The sequence below is a fragment of the Homo sapiens genome, chromosome 2, assembly GCF_000001405.40.
Source record: "Homo sapiens chromosome 2, GRCh38.p14 Primary Assembly".
Lineage (NCBI taxonomy): Eukaryota > Metazoa > Chordata > Mammalia > Primates > Hominidae > Homo > Homo sapiens.
In genome coordinates, this window is record NC_000002.12 from 137,234,265 (window position 1) to 137,257,907 (window position 23,643).

At 38.6% G+C, this 23,643-nt stretch overlaps 1 protein-coding gene across 2 annotated transcripts in view; it reads left to right on the forward strand.

Annotated features, from left to right (window-relative positions):
• Window positions 1-23,643, forward strand: part of THSD7B (thrombospondin type 1 domain containing 7B) — a 912,174-nt gene that overhangs the window by 468,720 nt on the left and 419,811 nt on the right. For both annotated transcript variants that reach the window (NM_001316349.2, XM_047445935.1), the window contains exon 10: window positions 8,193-8,308. In NM_001316349.2, the coding sequence (NP_001303278.1) occupies window positions 8,193-8,308 (116 nt within the window). The remainder of the gene's footprint in view (window positions 1-8,192; window positions 8,309-23,643) is intronic.

A 23,643-nucleotide genomic window follows, 5' to 3' on the forward strand; every position in this document is an offset into this window, starting at 1 on the left:
TCTGCCTAATTCAATTTAATTTGTGTTTCTCTCATGGGCAATGGAAACACTGAAAAATTTCATCTGGGGAACCACGGTGAAGGGCTCTGGGCCTGATCCACACTGTCATGGAAGCCACTTTGGCCATGTGTAAGGAAAGTCACCCAAGCTCCGTTATGGGAAATGAACTGCTTACGGCAGCAGATAGAGTGCAGACTGGCAGACACTGCCCAGAGCTTGTGTTAGAGCATTTGATGAGCTGGTGGTTTTGCAAATACACATGAAGATGTGTATTTGCAAGTCGTACTGTGACTTGAAGGGAAGCATAGCCTGGAACACTTGACCTTTCTCTTCTCCTAAATGTGGCTCCCAGAGTGCTGGGATTGGGTGTTCTTTCTTGTTCCAACCCTAGTCTAGCACAGCATCTGGCAGGTAGTTAGTATAAACATTTCTGGAATTTATGAATGAGCTAAACCTATATGTAGAGGAGTGATCGGTTTGCCAAGGATTGGATATGAAGATCAAGGGAAGTGTATGTTTATCTTTTGCTTCAAGAAAAACATATTTAATCTCCCATGATAAATTTTGTTAAAGGGGACTATCATGAAAATTAGTGAGCATATCATACATATGACCTGCTCTTTTTAGCTCATAAATACTGTTTTTGCTCTAGAACCTAACTCTACATTATTAGCAGTGTTCTTGGAAATGTCAACTTGTATCAGTTGTATTTTTCAACTTACCTGGTAGCCATAGCGGCACATGGATTGATTGGACCAATGAATCAATGGAAGTTATAGACAAATATGGACAATAACATTTAGTATCACCTGCTTCAGGTGATAACCTAAGTCATGAGGTTATGGTAAAATTCTGAAAGTTTTATAAAGGTGTTACGCAGACATGAGAACTCCTTTTATCTGAGAAGGATTGAAGCCTAGATAATGTTTATTTTTATGACCTGAATTTTCAACTGCTTAAGAAAAGATGCACGAAAGATTAGAATGAATATAAAAATAAAAATAAGTATGGATTAGATGTAGGAGTAACCCTACATAAAATGCAGCAAACTATTATTCTTTATAGTGATGAAAAATTTTAGCATGCCTGAAGCCTGATCTCCTTTCCACAAAGCTTTTCATCTTTGACCCACTATGACAGGAAAAATCCACTGGACCTGAATGTAGCTTGTTTATTTTTTAGCAAAGGGGCATTAGAATTGAGACTGATACCAATTCCATAAATTATCATCATATTTTAAAGGGCTATTCGGACAGAAAAAGTTGAGTTATATGTTCAAATCAGCATCTATTTCTTCTTGTATCGTCATTATTACTTTGAATCACAGTTTCATGAAGGTTTCTGAGCACATCAGCTTACTCAAATGTTAAAGAGGATTTGAGAAAAAAATCACAGGAACAGAAGTTTGTAGTTTAAAACATAATTCATAATAAGCTAATATGCATTTGTTTTAAAATGTACATAAGTGAGACTAAAATATTATTATTACAGTAAATCATCTCCAGTTTTGCTGTGGTTTACCAACACAGAAAAATCAATTGCACAGATGTTTTCCCTAACATACACACACAAATATAAAAGCATTGCTAATGACTTTCTGTACTGTTAATGAGGCTGGAGACTTAACAACCTAGTTTTAATTCTGACTGTATGTCTCCAAATAATCCTGTTAAACATGAGCAGCCTGCATTGACTTTAGTGAAATTAATTAAAATTCTTGAGGTTAATGAGATTAATTGAGCTAAGAAAATAATACCTAGTGTCCAGTGAAGCACCCAAGGAGATTATCAGCAATATAAAGTATCCTTTGCTATGCCTCCAGAAATATATTTTTGCTCTTTTTCACATGAAAGTCATTGCAGTGGGAAAAGATCCCCTGTCATATATGAAATCTTTGGGATGGGGATAGAGAAATGGAAAGGAAGAAGAAAATATCCTAGAGAAAGAGTGGCCTTCAGAAAACAGAGAAGGACGCATGTCTCCATGGAACGTGTGGTTCAAAATAATGTTATATCTCTAAACCCACTGCACTGAGAGGCATAGAGTTTCTCGCAAGTTCTTGTGTCCCTGGGTTGGTGTTTTGGTTTCCATGTAATTGTACAGGTGAGACTGTTACCATTGTACGAGTAATCGAACTGATCATATCAGAAAATGAGAGCTAGCTGGTAACAACTGAATCAGAGTGAGAGCTTGTTGGGATCTTCCTGAAGTTGTGTTCGGTTTTGTTTTACTATTCAATGCTTTTCTTTCCCCGGTGGCAGTGTACAAAAAATAATGATAATAAAGATTGAAAACACATAACTCAAAGCCTTTCAAAGTTCCTGATAAGGTACTTTCTGCTTTTAATGTGAAAACAACTGGCATTTTGTGAGATACAGCAATAAATAGCTCCATTTAAACATTTAACATTTAAAAGCTTGGCAGGTTTCCCCATCTAGCTGAGTGAGATGAATACATCAGTTCCTGGGTCAGATGACTAATTATGGAGGTGTAGCTAAAAAATGGCAGGTCTTTGTAGCCCAATGTGATGTATTTCAGCACAGTGCTTATAAGAAGCTGAAGCTAGCTGGGCGCGGTGGCTCATGCCTGTAATCCCAGCACTTTGGGAGGCCGAGGCAGGTGGATCACCTGAGGTCAGGAGCTTGAGACCAGCCTGGCCAACATGGTGAAACCCCATCTCTACTAAAAATACAAAAATTAGCCAGGAGTGGTGGCAGGCACCTGTAATCCCAGCTACTCGGGAGGCTGAGGCAGGAGAATCCCTTGAACCTGGGAGGCAGAGCTTGCAGTGAGCTGAGATGGCACGCCATTACACTCCAGCCTGGGCAATAAGAGAGAAACTCCGTCTCAAAAAAAAAAAAAAAAAAAAAGCTGAAGCCTACAGTGAGGCCAAGAGACAAGAGTTGTAGAACATTCCAGTGCAAGTCCAGGAAAATATATTCATTGAAATGGAATTCGTTCCCTTTTATGGAGAGCATTGCTAATCCAAAATCAGAGTATTACATGAAAGCAGGAAGTTAAATTTTGACAAAAGGCAAGGGGCCATGTATGCTTACTAGCTAAAAAGTGAATCCATCTGTTTCTCTGGGTTTCAAGGCTTCAGTTTTGTTGCGGAAATAGCTGGAGAAATAAGTCTAATATTCCCCAGGGATTTATTTGTCTTCAGGCTTTGATAGCACAGAATACTATTCAGTCATTCACTTACTGTTACTAAACGTTTACACTGAGCTAAATATGGGATTTTTAAGGCACGATACAAAATGGAATTCTACCATCAAGGCACTCAAAATTAGTGTATGTACAGCATGTGCGTGTATGTGCACACACACAGCATCAGCACCCCAAAAGTTATCAAAAGTCTTTTCTCTGTCAGTGATAATACAGTGATACAGAAAACCAACTTTACCTTTTTCAGAAGTTGGGGAGAACCTAGGTTCCTAATAGCCAAAGACTGTATTTTTGAAGACTATGAGAAAATGTATGGAAATTGGAAATGTGACGATGCATGAAAGGATAGACAATGTGTAGATAAAGAGGAAGAGAAAGTTGAATCCCTGAGGAAAGGGTAAACCTCATTGGCAGGGGAAGTGACAAAAAGACAATTTCCATTGCAACAAAATATTTGGCCCTTATCAAACCAAAAATAACTTGCATTTCCAGGAAAGCCCACAGTTCATTTCTTCTATAATAGCACTGTAACCTAAGCTTGACCTTTGCCCTTGAGGGAATGATACTCTTTCTCTCTTTCAGACTTAAGAGAAAAAGAGAGAGAAAGGGCCATATCATGGAGAGTTCAAGTATTACCCAGTGAGTGTTTATGGTGAGTGATGCCAGGAAAGGGTCAATAAAATTGACAATATCAGTTCCCTAAAAGAGATTAATGCCTACTCCTAATTGAAGGGGATAAAGTTCCTGAGATATTAGCAACTCTCTATAGAAAGCTTGAAGTGTTGCGCCACAAATATTTCCAGGCTGTTTTGTGAATGTTCGAGTGTTGGGTGGGTCCGTATGGGAACCCTTGTGACTCCTGGGCACAGGAAGTTGGCATCACTCAAGTTGTGTTTTCATTCCCAGCTATCTACCAGGAAAGGATGGAGAAAAGTTAGAATAAATGGCAATTGAATTCATTTTTAGAAGACCTTAAAAATTAATAAGGGACTTAGGAGTGATTTTAGTGTTTTCTTATCTTAACTAAAGTATGATATAAATTTTCCTTACCAGAGTAGCTTGTTTAAATAACACTATATCCTGATAATGACACTCATCTTTCTTTTTTTTTTTTTTTTTTTTTTTTTTTTTTGAGACGGAGTCTCGCTCTGTCGCCCAGGCCGGACTGCGGACTGCAGTGGCGCAATCTCGGCTCACTGCAAGCTCCGCTTCCCGGGTTCACGCCATTCTCCTGCCTCAGCCTCCCGAGTAGCTGGGACTACAGGCGCCCGCCACCGCGCCCGGCTAATTTTTTGTATTTTTAGTAGAGACGGGGTTTCACCTTGTTAGCCAGGATGGTCTCGATCTCCTGACCTCATGATCCACCCGCCTCGGCCTCCCAAAGTGCTGGGATTACAGGCGTGAGCCACCGCGCCCGGCCATGACACTCATCTTTCTTTCTCTTGTTATGCTCATTGAATCAATCTATTTTATAGATGATTTGTGTGTATATATGTATTAAAGATAGTTAATAATAATAATGCCACTAATAAGAATGAATTAGCAATTTTTTCTGGGTATATATCTTTTAATATTAGTTTATTTTTTATCAAAGCGTTACGTGTTTTATTGTATAAGTAAAATAATAGAGGGACTGATGGTGGAAAGCAGTAGGTTCTCAACCACCTCCTCCTCCACTTCATATCCTACTTCCTTAACACAACCACTTTTTTTTTGAAATAATTATAGATCCACAGCAACTTGCAAAAGTTGTACAGAGAAATCTATACACCCTTCACTCGGCTTCCCCCAGCTGTAACATCTTACATAACCATAGTACATTACCAAAGCCAGAAAATGTATTTATATAGCACAACCACTTTTTAACAGTTGCTGAATTTTTTTTCTGTCTCTCTCTGAATTTTGATTGGGAAAACAGACACATAGTTCACCAATATAAAAAGGTGAACAGTTGGAAGCCTTATGCCACCCCGGCTCTCATTCACCCACTTCCGTCCTCCTTCCCTGTCCCCAACAACCACTTTACTCCTTCCTCATCTACCTCCCCTGTATCTTTATGTGGATACAAGCAAATTCAAGTATATATCACTGGCCCTTCTCCCTTTCTGGTGTTTACCTCCTAACTCTAAAGGATGTATTTTTCACAGAAGAGCCATGTAGCTCTGCATTTATCAATTTAAAATTGTCATTCTGTGATTTGCTCCCATGAAAGTAATCAACCTCAGCTCATTTCCACTACTTCCTCTCCCAACTCCTCCCAGAATGTTGGCATTCTCTTGGTTGGTTACAGTAGTACTTTTGATCAAGTTTCTTAGAACCTTTGTCAAAGTCAGTTTGGGCTGCTATAACAAAAATAGCATAGACTGGTTGGCTGAAACAACAAACAGGTTTATTTCTGACAGTTTTGGAGGCTGAAAGTCCGTGATCAGGGTGACCTCATGGTTGAATTCCAGGAAAAGCCCTCTTGCTGGTTTGCAGATGGCCACCTTCTTGTATCTTCACATGGTGGAGAACACAGAGAGGAAACCAGCTACTTGGTGTCTCTTTTTGTAAGGGACACTGATGCCATTCATGAGAGCTCCAACCTCATGATCTAATTATCTCCTAAAGGCTCCACCATCCGATGTTTTCACTTTGGGGGTTAGGTTTCAACATATAGATTTTGGGAGGGACACAAACATTTTGTTCATAATGACTTTGTCTCTTATTTCATTTGTGTTTAGATCAACTCTCTGAACACCTGCTTTGTTGGAGGAGGACATCCAGTGTCCATCCTCTCTCCTCTTTCTAGTTCTCATCCTGTACTCTCTGTGACCAGAATGATGTGTTGGAACATTTTATCCCAAAACAAAATTTATTCGTCTCTGTTTTGCCTATGCATTGTTTCTAAAATGTTAACACTATGAAATTGCTTTCAGATTTATAATTATGTAAGTTGATGAGGTCTGATGTCACTCAGATTCCTCTCCCTTCTTAGATGAACCATTTTTCTTCCTTTTTGCCCTAACAGTTATTAGTTTCTGTTCTGCCTGCCCTCCCTCTCTCCCTCCTTCCTTCTTTTTCTCTCACTCTCTCTCTCTCTGTTTCTTTTTTAGAGACAGAGTCTTGCTTTATTGTCCAGGCTCTGGAGTGCAGGGGTATGATCATAGCTTACTGCAGCCTTGAACTCCTGGGTTTCAGTGATCCTCTGGCCTCAGCAACCCATGTAGCTAGGACTACAGGCATGTACCCCCATGCCCAGCTAATATTTTTTATATTTTTTAATAGACACAGGGTCTGGCTGTGTTGCCCAGGCTAGTGTTTAACTTCTGGCCTCAAGCAATACTCTTGCCTCGGCCTCCCAAAGCGTTGGGATTACTAGTTTCTCCTCTTAACATTTTCTTTGTGTTTGAAATTTGGACAGTCCCTGTATTTGCATGTTGGTCATTTTGTATACACTTCCTGGGTTTTTCACTCTGAATTATCATCTCTTTTTCAATTCTGTAATAGTTAAGTCCATTATTTCCTCATCAATTTTCTCTTTTCCATTTTTCTCTATTCTCTCTTACTGGAAGTCTATTAACTGTCTGTTTAAACTTGCTAGACTGGTGTTTTTTCAATCATAATTTTTTCAGGTGCTTTGTCTCCATGAAGCTTTGGGTCCATTACTTATTTCAACATCTCAGCTTATCATATGAAAATGAAGATTATAATGCTCATCATTGCTGTTAAGAGTAACTGAAAGAATGTAGGCAGAGCACTTAACTCAGCACTGGCTATCCAATACAGAGCTCACACTATTAAACTTTATACACACTGCAATTCTCTTCTTTATATGAAACTTATGGGAAACAGAATTTAAAAACCAAATGTATAGCGTAAAGTGCTTTCCTGTTTTTCTTCTTGGTGTAACACTGTTGTAGAATATAATAAATGTGATTGTTAGCCATCTCTACTCTAAAAACAAGCAAGCAAGCAAACAAACAAAAACTCTCTTGCTATTTGCTGAGACTTTAGTTTTCCAAATAATTGTGACTCCATTAACTATTTATATTACTTTCTTCCCAAGTCTGGGCACTAAATTAATTATCAGCAAAGTAATAAAATCAATATCTTCTTCCTTGTTAATGCTGGTTAGTATATTTGTTATTAACAGGCTGTCATATGTTGCTTCTTCCAACTTTTCAGTCTACGTGTTCTATAGAAATACCTGTTAATTGACTGGGCTCGGTGGCTCACGCCTGTAATCCCAGCACTTTGGGAGGCCAAGGAGGGCAGATTATGAGGTCGAGAGATCGAGATCATCCTGGTTAACATGGTGAAATCCCATCTCTACTAAAAATACAAAAATTAGCCAGGCATGATGGTGCACCTGTAATCCCAGCTACTTGAGAGGCTGAGGTGTGAGAGTCACTTGAACTTGGGAGGTGGAGGTTGCAGTGAGCCGAGATCGTGCCACTGCACTCCAGGCTAAGGGACAGAGTGAGACTCCATCTCAGGAAAAAAAAAAAAAAAGAAAAGGAAAGAAATACCTGTTCATCATTTAAGTAGTCTAGAATTCTGTTAATGATCAAAGATTCCTAGTATTTTTAAGTGTCCATCAAAGATTTTTGTTTTCCAATATATGTTTATATTTCTTTTATAATCCTTTCTTTTGTAGAATATTGCTAAATTGATGTATCACCCTGAATAAAACATTTAAAATAATATTTCAGTTTTTTCCTTCTGAAAAAGATAAAATTAGTTGATGCTGATGGTGAGACACTTTCTTGGCACTCATCTTTCATTGGTTTCAGAGGTTATTTTTTTACTGGTGTAGTGAAAAGTTATTTTGGTCTTTGGATCAAGAGAGCTGAGGTCTGCTTCAGGCTCTGCCTCCAGCTTTGAGCGCTTGGGCAAGTAGCTTCACCTCCAGGAGTCTCTCTTCCCTCACCTATTAAGGGAACATGAGGCCCTTAATATTTTCGGTTCTAAAATCCTATAGTTCTGCGTTCAACGGCTTAGTCTCTCAAAAAGGCATTGACATGGTCTTTTCACATTGACAGATGTCCAGATTCTACTCGACCTGAAACTGTGCGCCCCTGTTTTCTCCCATGCAAAAAAGACTGTATTGTGACTGCTTTCAGTGAGTGGACACCCTGCCCAAGGATGTGCCAAGCAGGTAGGTGGATGCTGCGTTCTTAGTTCTTTCTTCCCTAACCTGATTGTTTCTCCACATCTAAGTAAGTGAGAGGTTGTGGAATGTGAGCACCTTTTTTTTTTTTCATTTGCCTATCACCCTGGAAACAAGTTTGGTAAAGTTTGTAAATGAAGTCTTGTATTTCCAAATCTATCAGAGCTTGGAAGAGAAAACATATTTTCTTATCTTATGTCATAGTTCCACCTGCATGCATTGCAGGAGTATTCATCTTCTACTGACCCCGTTGTGGCATTTTGAACAGTCATTCCCATGTGATTCCTTATAAAGCATCATCACAATCACAGTTTCTATGTGGCTCTTGTGTGTCTGGACCCCAGTTCCAGGTATCCTCATTAGAATATAGGGCTCGAATACAATGCTCACATCACTGATTAATATAAGTACATGGATTACAAGAGCAGATACATTACAAAGTGTTGAACAAGTACAGAAATTGGCAATATATGATTTGTATTTCTTTATTCTTAATGGTGATACTTTATACATCTGGGTATATTTGAAGGTATTTAATCCAGGATACTTAACAGCAAAGTCCTAGATGAACACATAGGAGTATATGCTAAAGTGATCCCCTCTCTTAGAACAGATCTTTCCCCCAAAGTGTATTGCAGCTCCCTGATGGGCTAGTTCATGTGAAGATATAATTAATCCTCATCCCAAAACTCCATTTTGGCCTAAGATCTAGAGTTAATAACTTAGTCCCTCTCTCCTAGTCTCATACACTAGCCTTGGCCCTTTGGATCTTACCATTGCATGGTTACAAAAGGCAAATCCAAGAAAAGGAAAGACAGAAAGAATATTACCTCTAATGCCCAGAGTTCAGTGAGTCTCATCCACTGGTCCCTGGGCTTCTCTTGGCAGCCATGTCCTCTCAAGCAGAGCATGGCTCTCTTGCTGCACCAGCCTCCTGGAAGAAGAAAGAAGAAAGTATGCAGTTCTGCAGAGAAAAAAGCCTGTCAGAGGTTTGCTTTCCTTGGATAATTCCAGCTGTGTGCGTCTAAGATCCTTCAAATGCTCTTTGACTCACATATCTATAGCATCACTTCGTGAGAGTGACGTGAAAATAAAGCCAATATTGACATAGATCTGATGGTCATTCAAACACCTCTCAGTGATTGAAAACAGAGCTGTGGCACCTGTTGAAAATTATCATCTTTGTATTGCAATGGTGGAGTACCAGCACAAAGTTTTATAACTATGGCATTTCATCTTCCTGATGATCATTTGTCACAGAATTAATATAGTAGCATACAATGAGATTTGCTTATGGATAGAATCAGAAATAAATACATTGAATAAGAAAGAGCTTTGAAAATACAGTGCTTTATTTATCTGATCTTTTGAGGGATGGAAACGACAATCTCTTCTAGAAACTCTCCAAAACTTGTTTTTTTCTGAATGAAGATCCAAAGTAAATGAACTGGATGAACAGGGTTTGTTAAATAGCCAGTGTAATGTCGTTTCAAAGCAGGCAAGGATAGAAAAGCTTCTGTCTCTACTCTGAGCCATTTGAAAGGCAGCATCTAGGAGGCTGACTTTGGGAATTTTAATCATAATGTACCTAAAAACATTTCAAGCTCTTAAAGATAAATATTGATAAGATGCAAGGGAATAATATAATCTATGATGATGGAGTTTTGTTGATATTTAACTATTTATTTTAGCTTCTTATTCATGAGAGTTTAGTACAATTCCTGTTAAATTGTTATAAGAAGAGACTGGATTTAAGAGAATACCCCACCAGCAGCCAGAAATTGGTGTTGGAGTTATTGAAGTCTCTTGATACATAGGGAAGCAGATTAACTTTGTTGAGCCAGTGTGCCCTGGTGACCAGAGATTACTTTAGCCACTGCTAGTCCACCTATTCTACATTCAAGAAAATTCTCTCTGCTACTGGAGAGTCTTTTCCTAGCATTGGGTAAAGGAAACGGAATCACAGGGCATGTAAAGTAATTGTTCCTCAAGCAACTTTAAATTTTACTCCAATTTCCAGAAATTCAATTAGTTGTTTAAATCATTGGCATTGTAATGAAAATAGTTCTAAGTCTCTGTGGTCTCTCTTTGCCACCAATTCTTCAAGCCCAGATAATTCTTTTCACAGCTTGGCAGTCAGGGACCTACAGAGGCAAAGATTCAATTTTCAGATTTCTTCCAGCTTTCCATTTCAATCCTATTTACCCTAATTTTTAGTTTATAGCTTGGGACTAAGATATTATTAAGTAACTATGGGTTAATTACAGGACACTATAAGAGGGGGAAAAATTTGGAGGAAATTGTATCTATAAGCCTATGGTTCTCAAACTTTATTGCATTTGAATCACCTGGAAGAATTATTAATATGCAGATTTCTGGATCCATGACTAGAAATTCTGATTCAATAACTATGGGGGGGTGGTGTCCCAGAAATTTTCAGTTGTAAGAAGCTAGGGCCCCCTGAATGGTGACCCTCCTCCTCCTCGTCTCCCTCATTCTGATGGAGCCCATAGATCCATGAGCAAAACTTGCTTTAACGCTAGATATGTGGCCCTTCTTTCAGCTTCTTGAATGTATCTTGTTTTTTTTCCCAGTTTAAGAGACTGTAGATTGGGGCATAAGAGCATGGATGCTGGAGCCAGATAACTGTGGTTGTATTTTCATGTTTGCTATGTAGCAGATATATTACTTAATGTCTCTTTGCCTCAGTTTTCTAATTTGTAAAATGGAGGTTAATAATAACACCTGCCTATAAAGAAAGCACTTAGACCACCTCCTGACACTGAGTAGGCACTGGGCAAGTGTTTGTATAGTTGTATAGTTTGCACCTGCTGTGCATGAGGTTGGCACTCCATTCTCTTCAGCTGCCCCTCCTTCCCGGGTCCTCAGCCTGTGTATCTACAGAGACCTGCCTTTCCCCTGGAATGCTGCTCTCATCTACCAGACTACTGTAGACTCCCCCATCCTCCTCCATTAAGTAGATTATCCCACAGCATCCTATTCATCCCCTTAAATTATCTTTTCTTGTTAGACTTGCCCCTGCTAGATTTTAAGTCCATGAATATAAGGACCACTTCCACCATCTTCACAACTGGATACTCTAAACCCAGCCTAGTATGGGGCATATAGTTGCTACTCAGTGCATATATTTTGAATGTACAGGTGTTGTGTAAAGAGATAGAGGAGTGCGGATTAAAATCTAGGCAGTGGATTTTGTGTCCTTGAGAGTGTCCTTCAACAGACTTTTTGGGAAATGGTGTCCTAAAACAGTACTTCTCAAACTTGAATGTGCATACAAGTCCCCTGGGGATCTTATTAATTGCAGATTCTAATTCAATAGACCGAAATGGGGCCTGGAATTGTATATTTCTATAAGTTCCCAGGTGATACATATATGTTGGGTATAAAGCTCTATGCGGGGTTGGGTTCATTAGAAATTTCTGGGTGAGGCAATGTCTGATCAAAGTTTTAAAGTGAGAAGCATGGACCAGGGACAGACTAGCAGGTGGGGACAGGGTGGGAGGTGAAGGGGAGTGGTTAAAAGTGGTTTAACTTAAACTGAGAGGTCAGGAAGAGATCCAGGAGGAGGATGGACCAGAGCAAGTGGAAACCTCGACTAATGAAGACAGAAGAACTCCTTTTTTTGTTTTGTGGCTATGGCTTCAGGTTGGGTCATCAAAGTTGAGAAGCGGTTATGTCTGTGGTCTTCAAAGTTGACTGCACAATGGAATCACCTGAAAATCTCTGATGCCTGGATCCTACTCTAATACATTCTGATTTAATAGGTTTGTGATAACAACCAGGGAATCACTGGATTATGAAAATCTCAAACCACGTTCATTCTAAACCTCTCAGAAAGCCAAGGTTGTTTATGGGACCAAGTGCACCAGCAGTGATTTGTGACATAGCAATGGATGAATTCCGTCAGGTTTTATTTTGTCCCGGCTTGATTCAAGAGCTAAAACCTTAAAACATAAAGGTATTTTCAAGCCATGGACAATCTCAAGCCATGCTTATGATCTTCTTATTCCTCCTTCTCTGAGTCTCTCCTTAAAGGATCAATGATAGTCTCATATTTTTCTAAGCAAACCAAAGGTCTATCAAGCTTTGGCCTGTTGTGGCCTAATTCTTCAGTCCCTGTAATAAATTCACCAAATTATCACGAACCATTTCCTTTGTACTTTTTTTTTTTTGCTGTTTTCTTCTATTCTTTTTTCAGCCTACAAAACAAATGCCTGCCTAAAGTATCCAATGTGGTCTAGTTAATAATAGCAACAGCTAGCTTATTGCAACATTTCTCAGCCTTTAGTTTTTTCAATGGACTGATGTCTGAGCCTCATCCCAGCCCGCCCAGTCAGAATATCTTTAGGTTGGAAGGATATCTGCGATAAATTCTCCATAGGTGACTTATAAGCAGTGAAGGATGAGAAACACTCATTTAATGCCTAATATTTTACAATATGTCTTCACATACATTTCAGCCTGTTATAGGAGACCATTGATAATTGTTTGCCGAGGTAGTGTTGGAATTAATTATGTTGGCCACTGCTGCCATCATTGTCATTCCTCATGTTTTTACTTTAAGATCACAAATCAGTATTATCCTTTGTATGATTTATATCAGAGAACCTTTAAAGAGCCTTGCTGCATATTTTCAACATTTAATTATATGAAGTTTCAAACATATGCATAAATGAATGCAATGTGAATACAAAGTATTAATGGTTAATACAATGTATTCATGTCATGATGGCTGCACAAAGCAATTATCACCTCATGGACATTCTTATTTTGTCTATACATTAATCCCCACTTCCACACCCAAAAGGACTAGTTGAGATAATTGCCAGATATGTTTACCAGTTTATGGAAAGGGAGAATATGAAAGAGGTAAAGTTACTAGACTGAAGATAAATTATGGTATATTAAAAATAGAATATTCAACAGAATATTTCTAGAAACCATGGAGCTAATGATTAATTATTTGTCAGTCTCAAATAATTGGAGGCTGAAGGAACTCCTTTAACTTTCATCTCTAAGGAGTGAGCTAGAGAGCAGTGTCATGGTAACAGGAAGGCCAACAGCAGAGACTGCTGCTGGGAATTGGTAGGAAACCTCATTTGGTGGAATTCATTTCCTCCTGTGTCAACCCTCCTGGAGTTACCTCTTGAGTTTTCAGTATCAAAAACAGACAGTGATTTTTTTTTAAACACCTAGGCATGTAGCATGGATTCTTGAGTTAGATTTCCTTGATTCAAATCTCATCTCTGCCATACAAATTACTTTAAACTTGCTGTGTTTCAATTTCTTCCTTTCCAAAATAAGGTAATATTACCAGCTACTTCAAAGAGCTGTTATAAGGAGGACAGATGGAACAGTGCCAGGTATATAGAAATTTACTATTGTTTATTTTTATTTAATCTCAACCCCATTGAGTTTTTTCAATCCACAGATGTCTGAGACTCACCCCAGCTCAAACCAATCAGAATCTCTTCAGGTTGAAAGGATATTTTCAGCGTTAAAACTCTCCATAGGTGACTCTTACTAGTGGTGGAGGATGAGAAATACTCAGTACTTAGCATTTATTTGTTATTATTATTATTAGATGATAATGATGATGATAAAAGTTCCTTAAGGTCAGGGAGCTTGTATTATGTTGAGTTCCTGCAATTATTAAGTCCTCTACATGCTGGTATTATGGCACCTGTTTCTATGCCTGTATTGCTCTGGACAGACTATAAACTCAGAGGGTAGGAGTCTTTCATTTCATTAATGAACTTCCAGTGCTTAGTACAGTGTCTGGCACATGGTGGGCATTTAGTAATTGTTGTTGAATGAATGAATAAATAGACACATCTCTTCCCCAGTCAGTTCTAATGCTTAAAGATTTTGCTTTCTTTTAAATGAAACTGTGGCATTAACAGATTATTCCACAGATCCAGGTCAATTAGGGAACTGGTCAATCTGAATGTCAAAAAGGTAAAAATAACCTATTCTGGATTCCAGAATTTTGCCCACTCAAATACATACAAGCACTAACTTGCCTCTTTACTTTCCCCTGTCAAGCATATGTGGCCCCCTCCTCTTCACAGAACCATCCACACCTTTGTTCATCCATTTGTTCCCAAATAATAGAGGGTCTGCTGTGTTTGAGTAATCAAAGCTTTGAGCCTGGAACACTGGCCCAAAAAATAATGTTCAAGGCACTTTAACACCTTGTTCTTCCTTGAGATTGACGTTACCTAAATCTTTTTTGTTTCTTCTGTAAACTTTAGATAATGTTATCTTTTCCAAAGAGTTTTTTGAGAAATTAAACACAGCAAGATGTATAGCTCACATCGATGTCTCCAGACCCAGCTCTGATACATGAGTGCAGGTATCTTTGTCTTCACAGGTGCTGCTGGGTGTAACTTGCTTCCTTTAGTCTGTAATTTAAAGTCCATAGATCGCTACATGGTCCCAGTGCTCAATAAATATTCCTGATAATTTAGTAGGAGGAACGACAAACACTTGGGCTTGTAGAGATTATAGTTTTCAATAATACTTCTGCCAAACTGAGGAGTTCTGCTGATAAAATTCATTAAAAAACACCTTTTCCTATTTCATAGGGGGAAAAAGTTCATGGATAAAATTCTCTCAATTAAATATTATTTTATTTTTTCCTATATATTTTTTTAATTATGGGATCTTCTGCCTGTCTTTATTAAAACCCCGCATAAGAAGTTATCAGATTTGGTTTAAAAAAAAAATAACAACATTGCATTAGAGTCCGATGACCATACTGAGACAAGGAGGAACACTTACATTAGAATGGGAGTTGCTGCTCAGAGCTCAGAACTCTTAGTCTGGTCTAAACTCCTTCAAAGAAATGTTAATCCAAGTAATATCTGGTAGGGAAAGCATTGTCAGTCCAGACTCTTTCCTCTCACTCCATTACTCCGTCTTCTTCCCTCTGGACTAGAGATTGATGTATATTTAGAAAGACCTGAAATCTACAGTATAGTCTACTGGATTTTCTCTTGCATCCTACAGTGGCCCCAGGAGGTAAGTCTAATCATACATGACTAACAGGTGAGAAACACCAAGCTCAGAAAGATGAAGTAACTGCTCCGAGGTTACCCAGTATGTTAGAATCAGAGCATGGTGGAAATCCAGGCTTCTCTCTGGCTCTAGGGCTTATCTGTTTTTATCCCACGACAACGAGCTACTTGCTACATCCATAGGCACAGATAGTCTTTCTTGTCTATTAGCAAATCAAGAATTTGAAGTCCAGTACCTTTATTGCAGGCTTTGCATGTTATAGATCACACATTAATTTGACATGTGCTATCTCATAAATTGTCAGGACAGTTTAATGGTAAAGGAAGAGCTGTTTTATTACTCCTGCTTCACAGATGAGGCAACACACTCCTCAAGGGAAGTTGCCATATGGCCTCAAAGGAGCAAAGACCAAGTTAAAAAACCCAGTGTTTAAACTTGCTACATTGTCTGTCCTGGTGCTCCTGTTCAGCTACAGAAAGGCAAGCTAGACAAGTTTAATTCTTGCCAGTGAAAGGCTATAACTTCAGCATAGTTTTGCTTTATTTCACTGCCTCTTCCTATTAAATTTATAATAGCTATAATTTATATGCATTACTCTATTTGATTACTTCTATTTTAAAATTTTATTTTAATTTGACAAATAATAACTGTATATAAATATGGGGTATAATGTGATGTTTTGATACATGTATACATGATGGAATGATTAAATCAAGCTAATTAATATATCCATCACCTCACCTGCCTAGAGTTAATAATAAAGCATATTTCAAAATTGCCACCAGAGTAGGTTTTAAATGTTCTCACTATTCCATTTAATTCTTACCTCAACCTTATGTTGAAAGAATTATTACTCTATTTTATGTAAAAGAAAATAGGGCTTAAAGATAGAGCCCAAGGTTGCAAAACTAACATTAATAAATACCAAAACCACATGGAATCCTAAGCTCTTAACCACTTAACAACAAATATTTGCTGAATGATCCTGCGTTTCAGGCTGTGTGCTAGGCGCTGTGTGTATATGGATAAAGTAGTGAATGAAACATACAGAAATCTCTCCATCGTAGAGAATACCATCCAGTGAGGGAAGATAGAGGAGTTGAACACAAAACTACCTGAATAAAGATGCAGTCACAAAGTGTGCTATGAAGGTCAGGGCACTATGGAAGAAGGCAAGAAAAGTCTGATTTCCCCTCTGCCTGAATGTCTCCCTTCATCTCTACTGCTTGCCCAAATCTTACTACAGCCTAAATCCTAGCCCCCTCCACAGAGTTTGTTCTGACCCTTCTGCTGGAAATAAACACTTTGCCCTCTGAAGTCCCATGCTCTGTCTGAAATGTTTGCAGTCTGGCTATTGGTAAAGGTGTTTTGTGTTCCTCTGAAGGATTGTGAACTCCTTGAGGGCTTAAACCTTGCCCTTTTCAGTTTTCAGTCCCCAAAGTACCAAGAAATAAACTTAAGGCAGAACAGAACTTAGTAAATCCATGTCAAATAAATAGATGCTAGCAAGAACCAATTTGCTTAAGCAAACCTAGCAAACTGCTGAACGAGAAGTTAGTCTTCCTTCACAGCTCAATTTTCCTCATAAAAATTTGCATAGCTTAATGCAAGAACATATGTGACGACGTTGGCCACAGAGTGTGTGAGACTTAGAGCATCAGATTTGTCTCTGTTTTCCTGGCAAATGTGGTTAAAAGGGAAAAAATTCTATCATTTTTATTTATTTTTTGTGTACTTGTTTGTTCATTCATTTGTCTGTCAGTCTGTCTATTATCTGTAATGAAGTTGTATGACTATCTCAGGGAAGCAAAACCTATTGAATTGCTAATTTCTTAAAGTCATTTCCCACTCGTGCTTCAAAGTCACCAACTGGGGTAGTAGTTACTGTTTTCAACCATATGGTTATGGGAAATGCAATGCACTGTCTGATAGGGTTTCGTTCTTGATAAAAACCCAAGGCCATATATAAGGTGAAATGCAAAATTGTGGTCATGTGCAATCTTTTAGTGTCCTAGACTGACCCGTGGGTAAAACTTAAAGTAATTGAACAGGTTTCTGAAAATGTGGTCCACAAACCTTCAGCTCAGATCTGTGTGGTATGCTTGCTAGAACCCTAAGAGATTCTGATTTTGAAGTTGGAACTGGGGCCTAAAACTCTGCATTTTTAAATTAACTTCCTTAGTGATTCTAAGACACAATAAAGTTTGAAAACCACTATATTGGAGAAGCATTGGATGTAACCATAGACCAACAGATTGTTTGAGAAATGTGTGACAAGCACCTACTGTGTTGTTTTAATCAACTCTATTTTAGTTTTTAAGGATCAAAGAACTTTAAGCTACATTAGGTAAAAGGGGTCTTGGCTGGGCGCAGTGGCTCACGCCTGTAATACCAGCCCTTGGGAGGCCGAGGTGGGTGGATCATGAGGTCAGGAGTTCGAGACCATCCTGGCTAACATGGAGAAACCCTGTCTCTACTGAAAATATAAAAAATTAGCCAGATGTGGTAGCACATGCCTGTAATCCCAGCTACTCGTGAGGCTGAGTCAGGAGAATCGCTTGAACCCGGGAGGCAGAGGTTGCAGTGAGCTGAAATCATGCCACTGCACTTCAGCCTGGGTGACAGAGCGAGACTCTGTCTCAAAAAAAAAAAAAAAAAAAAAAAACAAAGGGTTGGGGGGCTTGATGGGAATTTATAACAGATCTGGCAGATGTCCAAATGTAAGAAAAAAAACCCTATGGGTGTGATGGGAGCTATAAATGCTGGGATTACAGTTTAGATTACAGTTGGAAGTAATGCTGGAAGTGCTGGGATTATAGGCATGAGCCACCAGGCCTGGCCCTTTATTTATTTATTTGTAGAGATGGGGTCTCGCCATGTTGCCCAGGCTTGTCTGGAACTCCTTTTGCTGTCCTTCTGCCTCAGCCTTCTGAAGTGCTGGGATTACAGGTGTGAGCCACTGTGCCTGGCCCTGGTTTGTATAATACTTTTGTGCCAGGTCCCTCAGTGGCTCAGAAGCCTATTGGAGCAGCCCTTGAGGCCAGAGACTCATGTGGAAGGGGAGGGGACAGTGATGCACAAAGGTGGCAGAGAATGATGCAGGAGCATCCCTCCGGAGAGGGCTTGTGGTGTTCCACGGGGAGGTTGGCCTTTCCAACTGGTTCAAGCTCCACTTTTTGGAGGGAATTCAGAACCTGGCTCATCCCTCTCTTGTGCCTCCACCAGTTACACTCTGGGTGCTAAACTATTGGAAGAGACTAGCATGTTTCCAATAGAAAAGGCTTGCTTTTTTTTTTTTTTTTTTTTTTTTTACTTCACAGCTTTGGTTTGAGAAAAGGGCTGTTGTGAATTAGGTAGAAATATAGAAAAGGAAAATGAAGCTCCAGAGAATAGAAATGCAGTAGAATAACACCTTCATGTGGAATAGAAACTGGGAGAATGAGGTACTCACTCTGAGTATGATCTGAGTCTGATATTACTCACTCTGAGTATGATCTGAGTGATATTTTAGTTCAGACAAGCAAAATATGCAGTCTGTGTGTACTTGCATTCTTACCAAAATGCCTTGGCTGTGATTCCTATCAGTGGTCTATGATAAACAGTGCTGTTTGGTTGTCTTATAAAATAAACCAACATACCAAAGAAAACAAAATAAATTTAAAAAGCAGAAAGATAAGCAAATGTAGGTTTAGTGTGTGGAGTTCTGTTCTTTACACCTGAAATGCAATACTATGCTGTCTTAGTTTATATCTAATAGTGACTTTAAAGCACTATTAATTTTCTTCGTGGAACAGCCAGGCTATGTTACCATAAATAAATCCTATGGCACATGGATATTTAAAATGATTTATTATTAGCATTGGTGGCAAAAATCTGTGTTTCCTTCAATATGAGTGTTCTTTCTTTACAAAATGCTTTTGCTTCTGGCTGGTTTCATTCTCATATCTGTAGAATTCTCTGCAGACAATATAATATGATTCTTATTTGTCGATAGAGGTAAATGAGTTGTTTTATAGAAACCAAGGTACCCATTCTAATTAGAAGTATATTTTTAGTCTTTTGATGTACTTCCTATGAAGAAATTGAATAAATTAGCTTTGATTTACCTGGGGTGTTTCCTTCAGTTTATTAAATAATCTTCTGCAATTAAAAAGAATAAATTAGTTATTTTTTGCTTCCTTGGCTTTGGTCCCATTTCAATGTGATTTCTAAATTAGAGTGTGGTTTCCGGAGGTTTTTGACTCACTGGGTTAGCTAATGTGATGGTAGATTTATAAAGTGTTTAATTTATATTATTATAGTAAAGCCTAGAATTAGAGGTGGAGTTAAACATTGGGATCTTAATATATCAATTTGAAACTTCAGGTTTTATAAAAACATCAAATAATTTATGTATGGTTAAAAAATCAACAAGCTACTTTATGCTTAAATGAAATAGATTGCTCATGGTTTAGACAAACAACTTTTAAGTGTCCCCTAGTAGAAAAATCAGCCCTGGATAGTCTGTGAATCTCTTGAAGTTGTTTTGAAATTAAGTTGCTACATATAGATGGTTCAGATAGAATATTTCTGGAATGACATGCTTTCAATGATCATAAATAAAATATCCAAAAATAAGTATGCTAGGAATGATAGACTCTCTGCCTTTTGAAATCTTTCCAAGTTAGATTTAATTTGCTGATATCTAAAATATGTTTGTCATATTGTATTTTGAGACCTTATGGATAACCAAAGGAATACAGATCACACGAATGTGGTGACAAGCTCTGTTGCAAGTGTGTTAATTTCTAACTTGAGCCAGCAATATCCTCTCTCATTGCTGAATGACCACAATGCTTTTGAGTGGATGTTTGATTATATTTAGTTTCGCACTGAATTATATTCTGTCTTAAGCTTCTGTCTTATTTGTTCATGGGTACTGGGAAGAGCTTGACCTTTTTTAGAATCTAACAGACTTCTGGTGGACTCCTGGTATTGTCACTTTTTCACAGTATTTTGAATTTTAGTTAACATCTCTGAAACTATATGCTCATGTGTAACATAGATATAATATGTAATATCTGTAAGACAACTTAACTTCATAGGGCTTTCTTATCCCATGCAAAGTTGCTCAATATGTGATAATTTTCTCCATTATGTATTTTTTCTACCCCAAGTAAATTGTAGGATTCATGACTATTTAAGCTCAAGGCATAAACATTATGAATTTTATAAACAGAAGATACTTAGCAGTGTGTATGTTTATGTGAGTGTGTATGTGTGTGCGTGTGTATGTGTGTATGTCGAGACAGAGAAAGAGTGAGGGGGGGCTCTCATAGTGGAACAATAATAATGTTTAGTATTTAAACATTAGGACCTGTTTATCATGTATAATGTCATTTTATATTCTTGCAATGTAAACATGCAATGTAACATTGCAAGAATGTAAACTTTGCAAGAATATAAAATAACATTATATATGACCAACAAGGTCATACATGGTCTTGAACCTTGAAGAATTCCATCTTTTCCCAAACTATCTTTCCTTCCACCCAAAATCAGAAACAACTGAAAGTTAATCAAAGCAGAGGGAGATCAAAATATCAGCTGCTTCTCAACCCCAGAATTAGACAGGCTTTCCTACCTGGCCACAGCCTGTACTGAATAGCAAAACATTCTCCTTGGGTGAGCACAGCTGAGAAGACAGAAGAATATGTGCATTTTCTGAGCAGACGTATCCCAAAGAAAGAAAAGGAGAGAGCATATCATAACAAGAAATGTATCAGTTTCTTGTTGCCAAAGTCATGATTTACATCTCCACAGGAGATGTAGGTGAGGGAGGTGTAGAGAGTCAAGGCACAAGAACTACTATGGAAGTGGATCTCCCTTCACATGGAAGGCATCATTAAGAGGACTCCACCCTTGCTGTCTGGTGCCGTGCGACTTGGTGAACTCTCACCCTAATACTTTCCACTGCCTCCTTTACTTCCCTTTAGCTATGTCAGCCTCCTTTCTGACCAAGCTTTTTTCCATCTCATTCAGACTTTCACTTACTGTTCCCTCTTTCTGGGAATCTCTTCTAGCCTTTTGCCTGGGTGCCTTTCTAAAACTTTTCACTTTTTTAGAAACAGGGTCTGGCTTTGTCACCTGATGGGGTGCAATGATGCAGTCATAGCTCACTGCAGCCTCAAACTCCTGGGCTTAAGCCTCCTGAGTGGCTGGGACTACAGGTGCGTGCCACCACGCCTGATTATTTTTATGTTTTTAGAGGTAGCATCTCTCTGTGTTGCCCAGGATGGTCTCAAACTCCTGACCTCCAGTGGTGCCTGGCCCTTGGGTGCTTTTATTCAACACTTTGTTTTCAGTTAAAATGCCATTGCCTCAGAGTGTCTGCCTCTGACTACCCTATTTAAAAATCCCCCTTCTTCCTGTTTTTTTTTCTTCTTCATTACTCTGTATTATTTTCTCACAGCAATTATCATTATCCCAACTAGAATGGAAGTTCCATGTCTTGTTCTCTGCTGAAACATGTTGAATGGTGACTGCCACAAAGTAATTACCTAAATATTTGTTGAATGAATAATAATGGATGAGTCAGTAAACCTTTTTCTAGGGCTTACTGTATACCAAGTTTTATGCCAACTGCTAGTTACATTAAGATGAATAAAATGAGGTTACTTTTATCACGGAGCACTTAAATAGAAATTCAGGCATGCAAACACATGTTTTCTATAACAGGAATGAGTACAGGACATTATGGAGCCAGAAAGAAGGGAGTCCTGTGATTGGGGAGGTGAGACTTAGTAGATCAGGAGTTACCAGGTAAACATGGAATAGATGTTTACAAGTAGTAAGTAGCAGAGGAGATATGTGTACAGAAGCTTGGCTGTGTGAAAGTACTTTGTAACTGAATGAATTACAGGTGGCTAATGATGCTTGGGATACACAACCCATATGGGGGAATGATAAGAAATAAAGAGATATGCAGGTACCCGCTCGTGAAGACATTCTACCAAGTTTGTATCTTATCTGGAATTCTGGTGGAATTTAAATTTTAACCATGAGTGTGATAAAATCACATTTATGTTTTAGAAAAAGAAAATAGTATAGAAAATAATGAGGTGAGACGACATTGGAAACCAGTGGAAAAATTAGGGGACCATTCAATTATCTGGGCAAGAAATGAGGAAAATATTTTCTTGAATAGAAAAGGGGAATTGAAGTTATCTTAGTCTGTTTTCTGTTACTTATAACAAAATACTTGAAACTGGGTAACTTATAAAGAAACAAAATTTATTTCTTACAGTTCTGGAGACTGGGAAGTTCAAGGGTGAGGGTCCGCATTTGGTGAGAGCCTTCTTGCTCGTGGGGAGTCTACAGAGTCCCAAGGTGGCACAGGGCATCACATGGTGAAGGGTTGATCATGTGAACTTAGGTCTTTCTTTGGCATCTTATAAAGCTACGGGTCCCACTCCCGTGATCCGTAATCCCATTAATCCATAAATAAAATCCAGTCACCTCTTAAAGGAGCCACCTCTCACTTCTGCCACATAGGGGATTCACTTTTGTCATGAGTTTTGGAGGGGGCAAATATTGAAACCACAGCAGTAGGTAAGCATATGAATTATCATAACTCGATAGTGTTTAATAGCATGTCTTCATGACCTGGAGTGTGCTCAATTTTTCATCCATCCATCCTGTGTAATTCACATAACTGGATGATTATGCAAACACTCTTCCCTGCTCAACGGATTTAATAGAAACAGTAGTAAGCAATTGGCTGGATTTCAGCAAGGCACAGACCCTTTTTAGCCACCTCTTCTGAGTGTGAGCTTCTAAGGAGTAAAATGGTTCCAAAGATCCAGGGTATCTCACAAAGTCCCCACATTCCCATCTCTTCTTATCAGGATCAGGGACAAAATTTGAGGGTCCTGTGCAAAATGGGAAAATGTGGAGTTCAGTGTTCAAAAAATTATTGAGAATTTCAAGACTATTGTCACAGAGCCCTAAACCACCCCTGAGACTGCACAGATCACCTGCCCATCCATCCATGATGCTGGTCCCAGTCTTTATTGGCTTTCTCTCCAGGCCAGGATCCTAACTGGCTTTGAGTTTTAATTTCTGGGAAGAGTTGCCATTAACTCAGATTATTTTATTGGATTGCATTTCTTCAGCTGAGAACATCTAAGGATTGGAGGAAATAGGACCAGGGAGAGGTTCATTTTTGTTACAGGCAACAAAGCGGAATGCACACTCTGGACCCACATTGCTTGGGTTCCAAAGTCTCTCAACCACTTACTGGG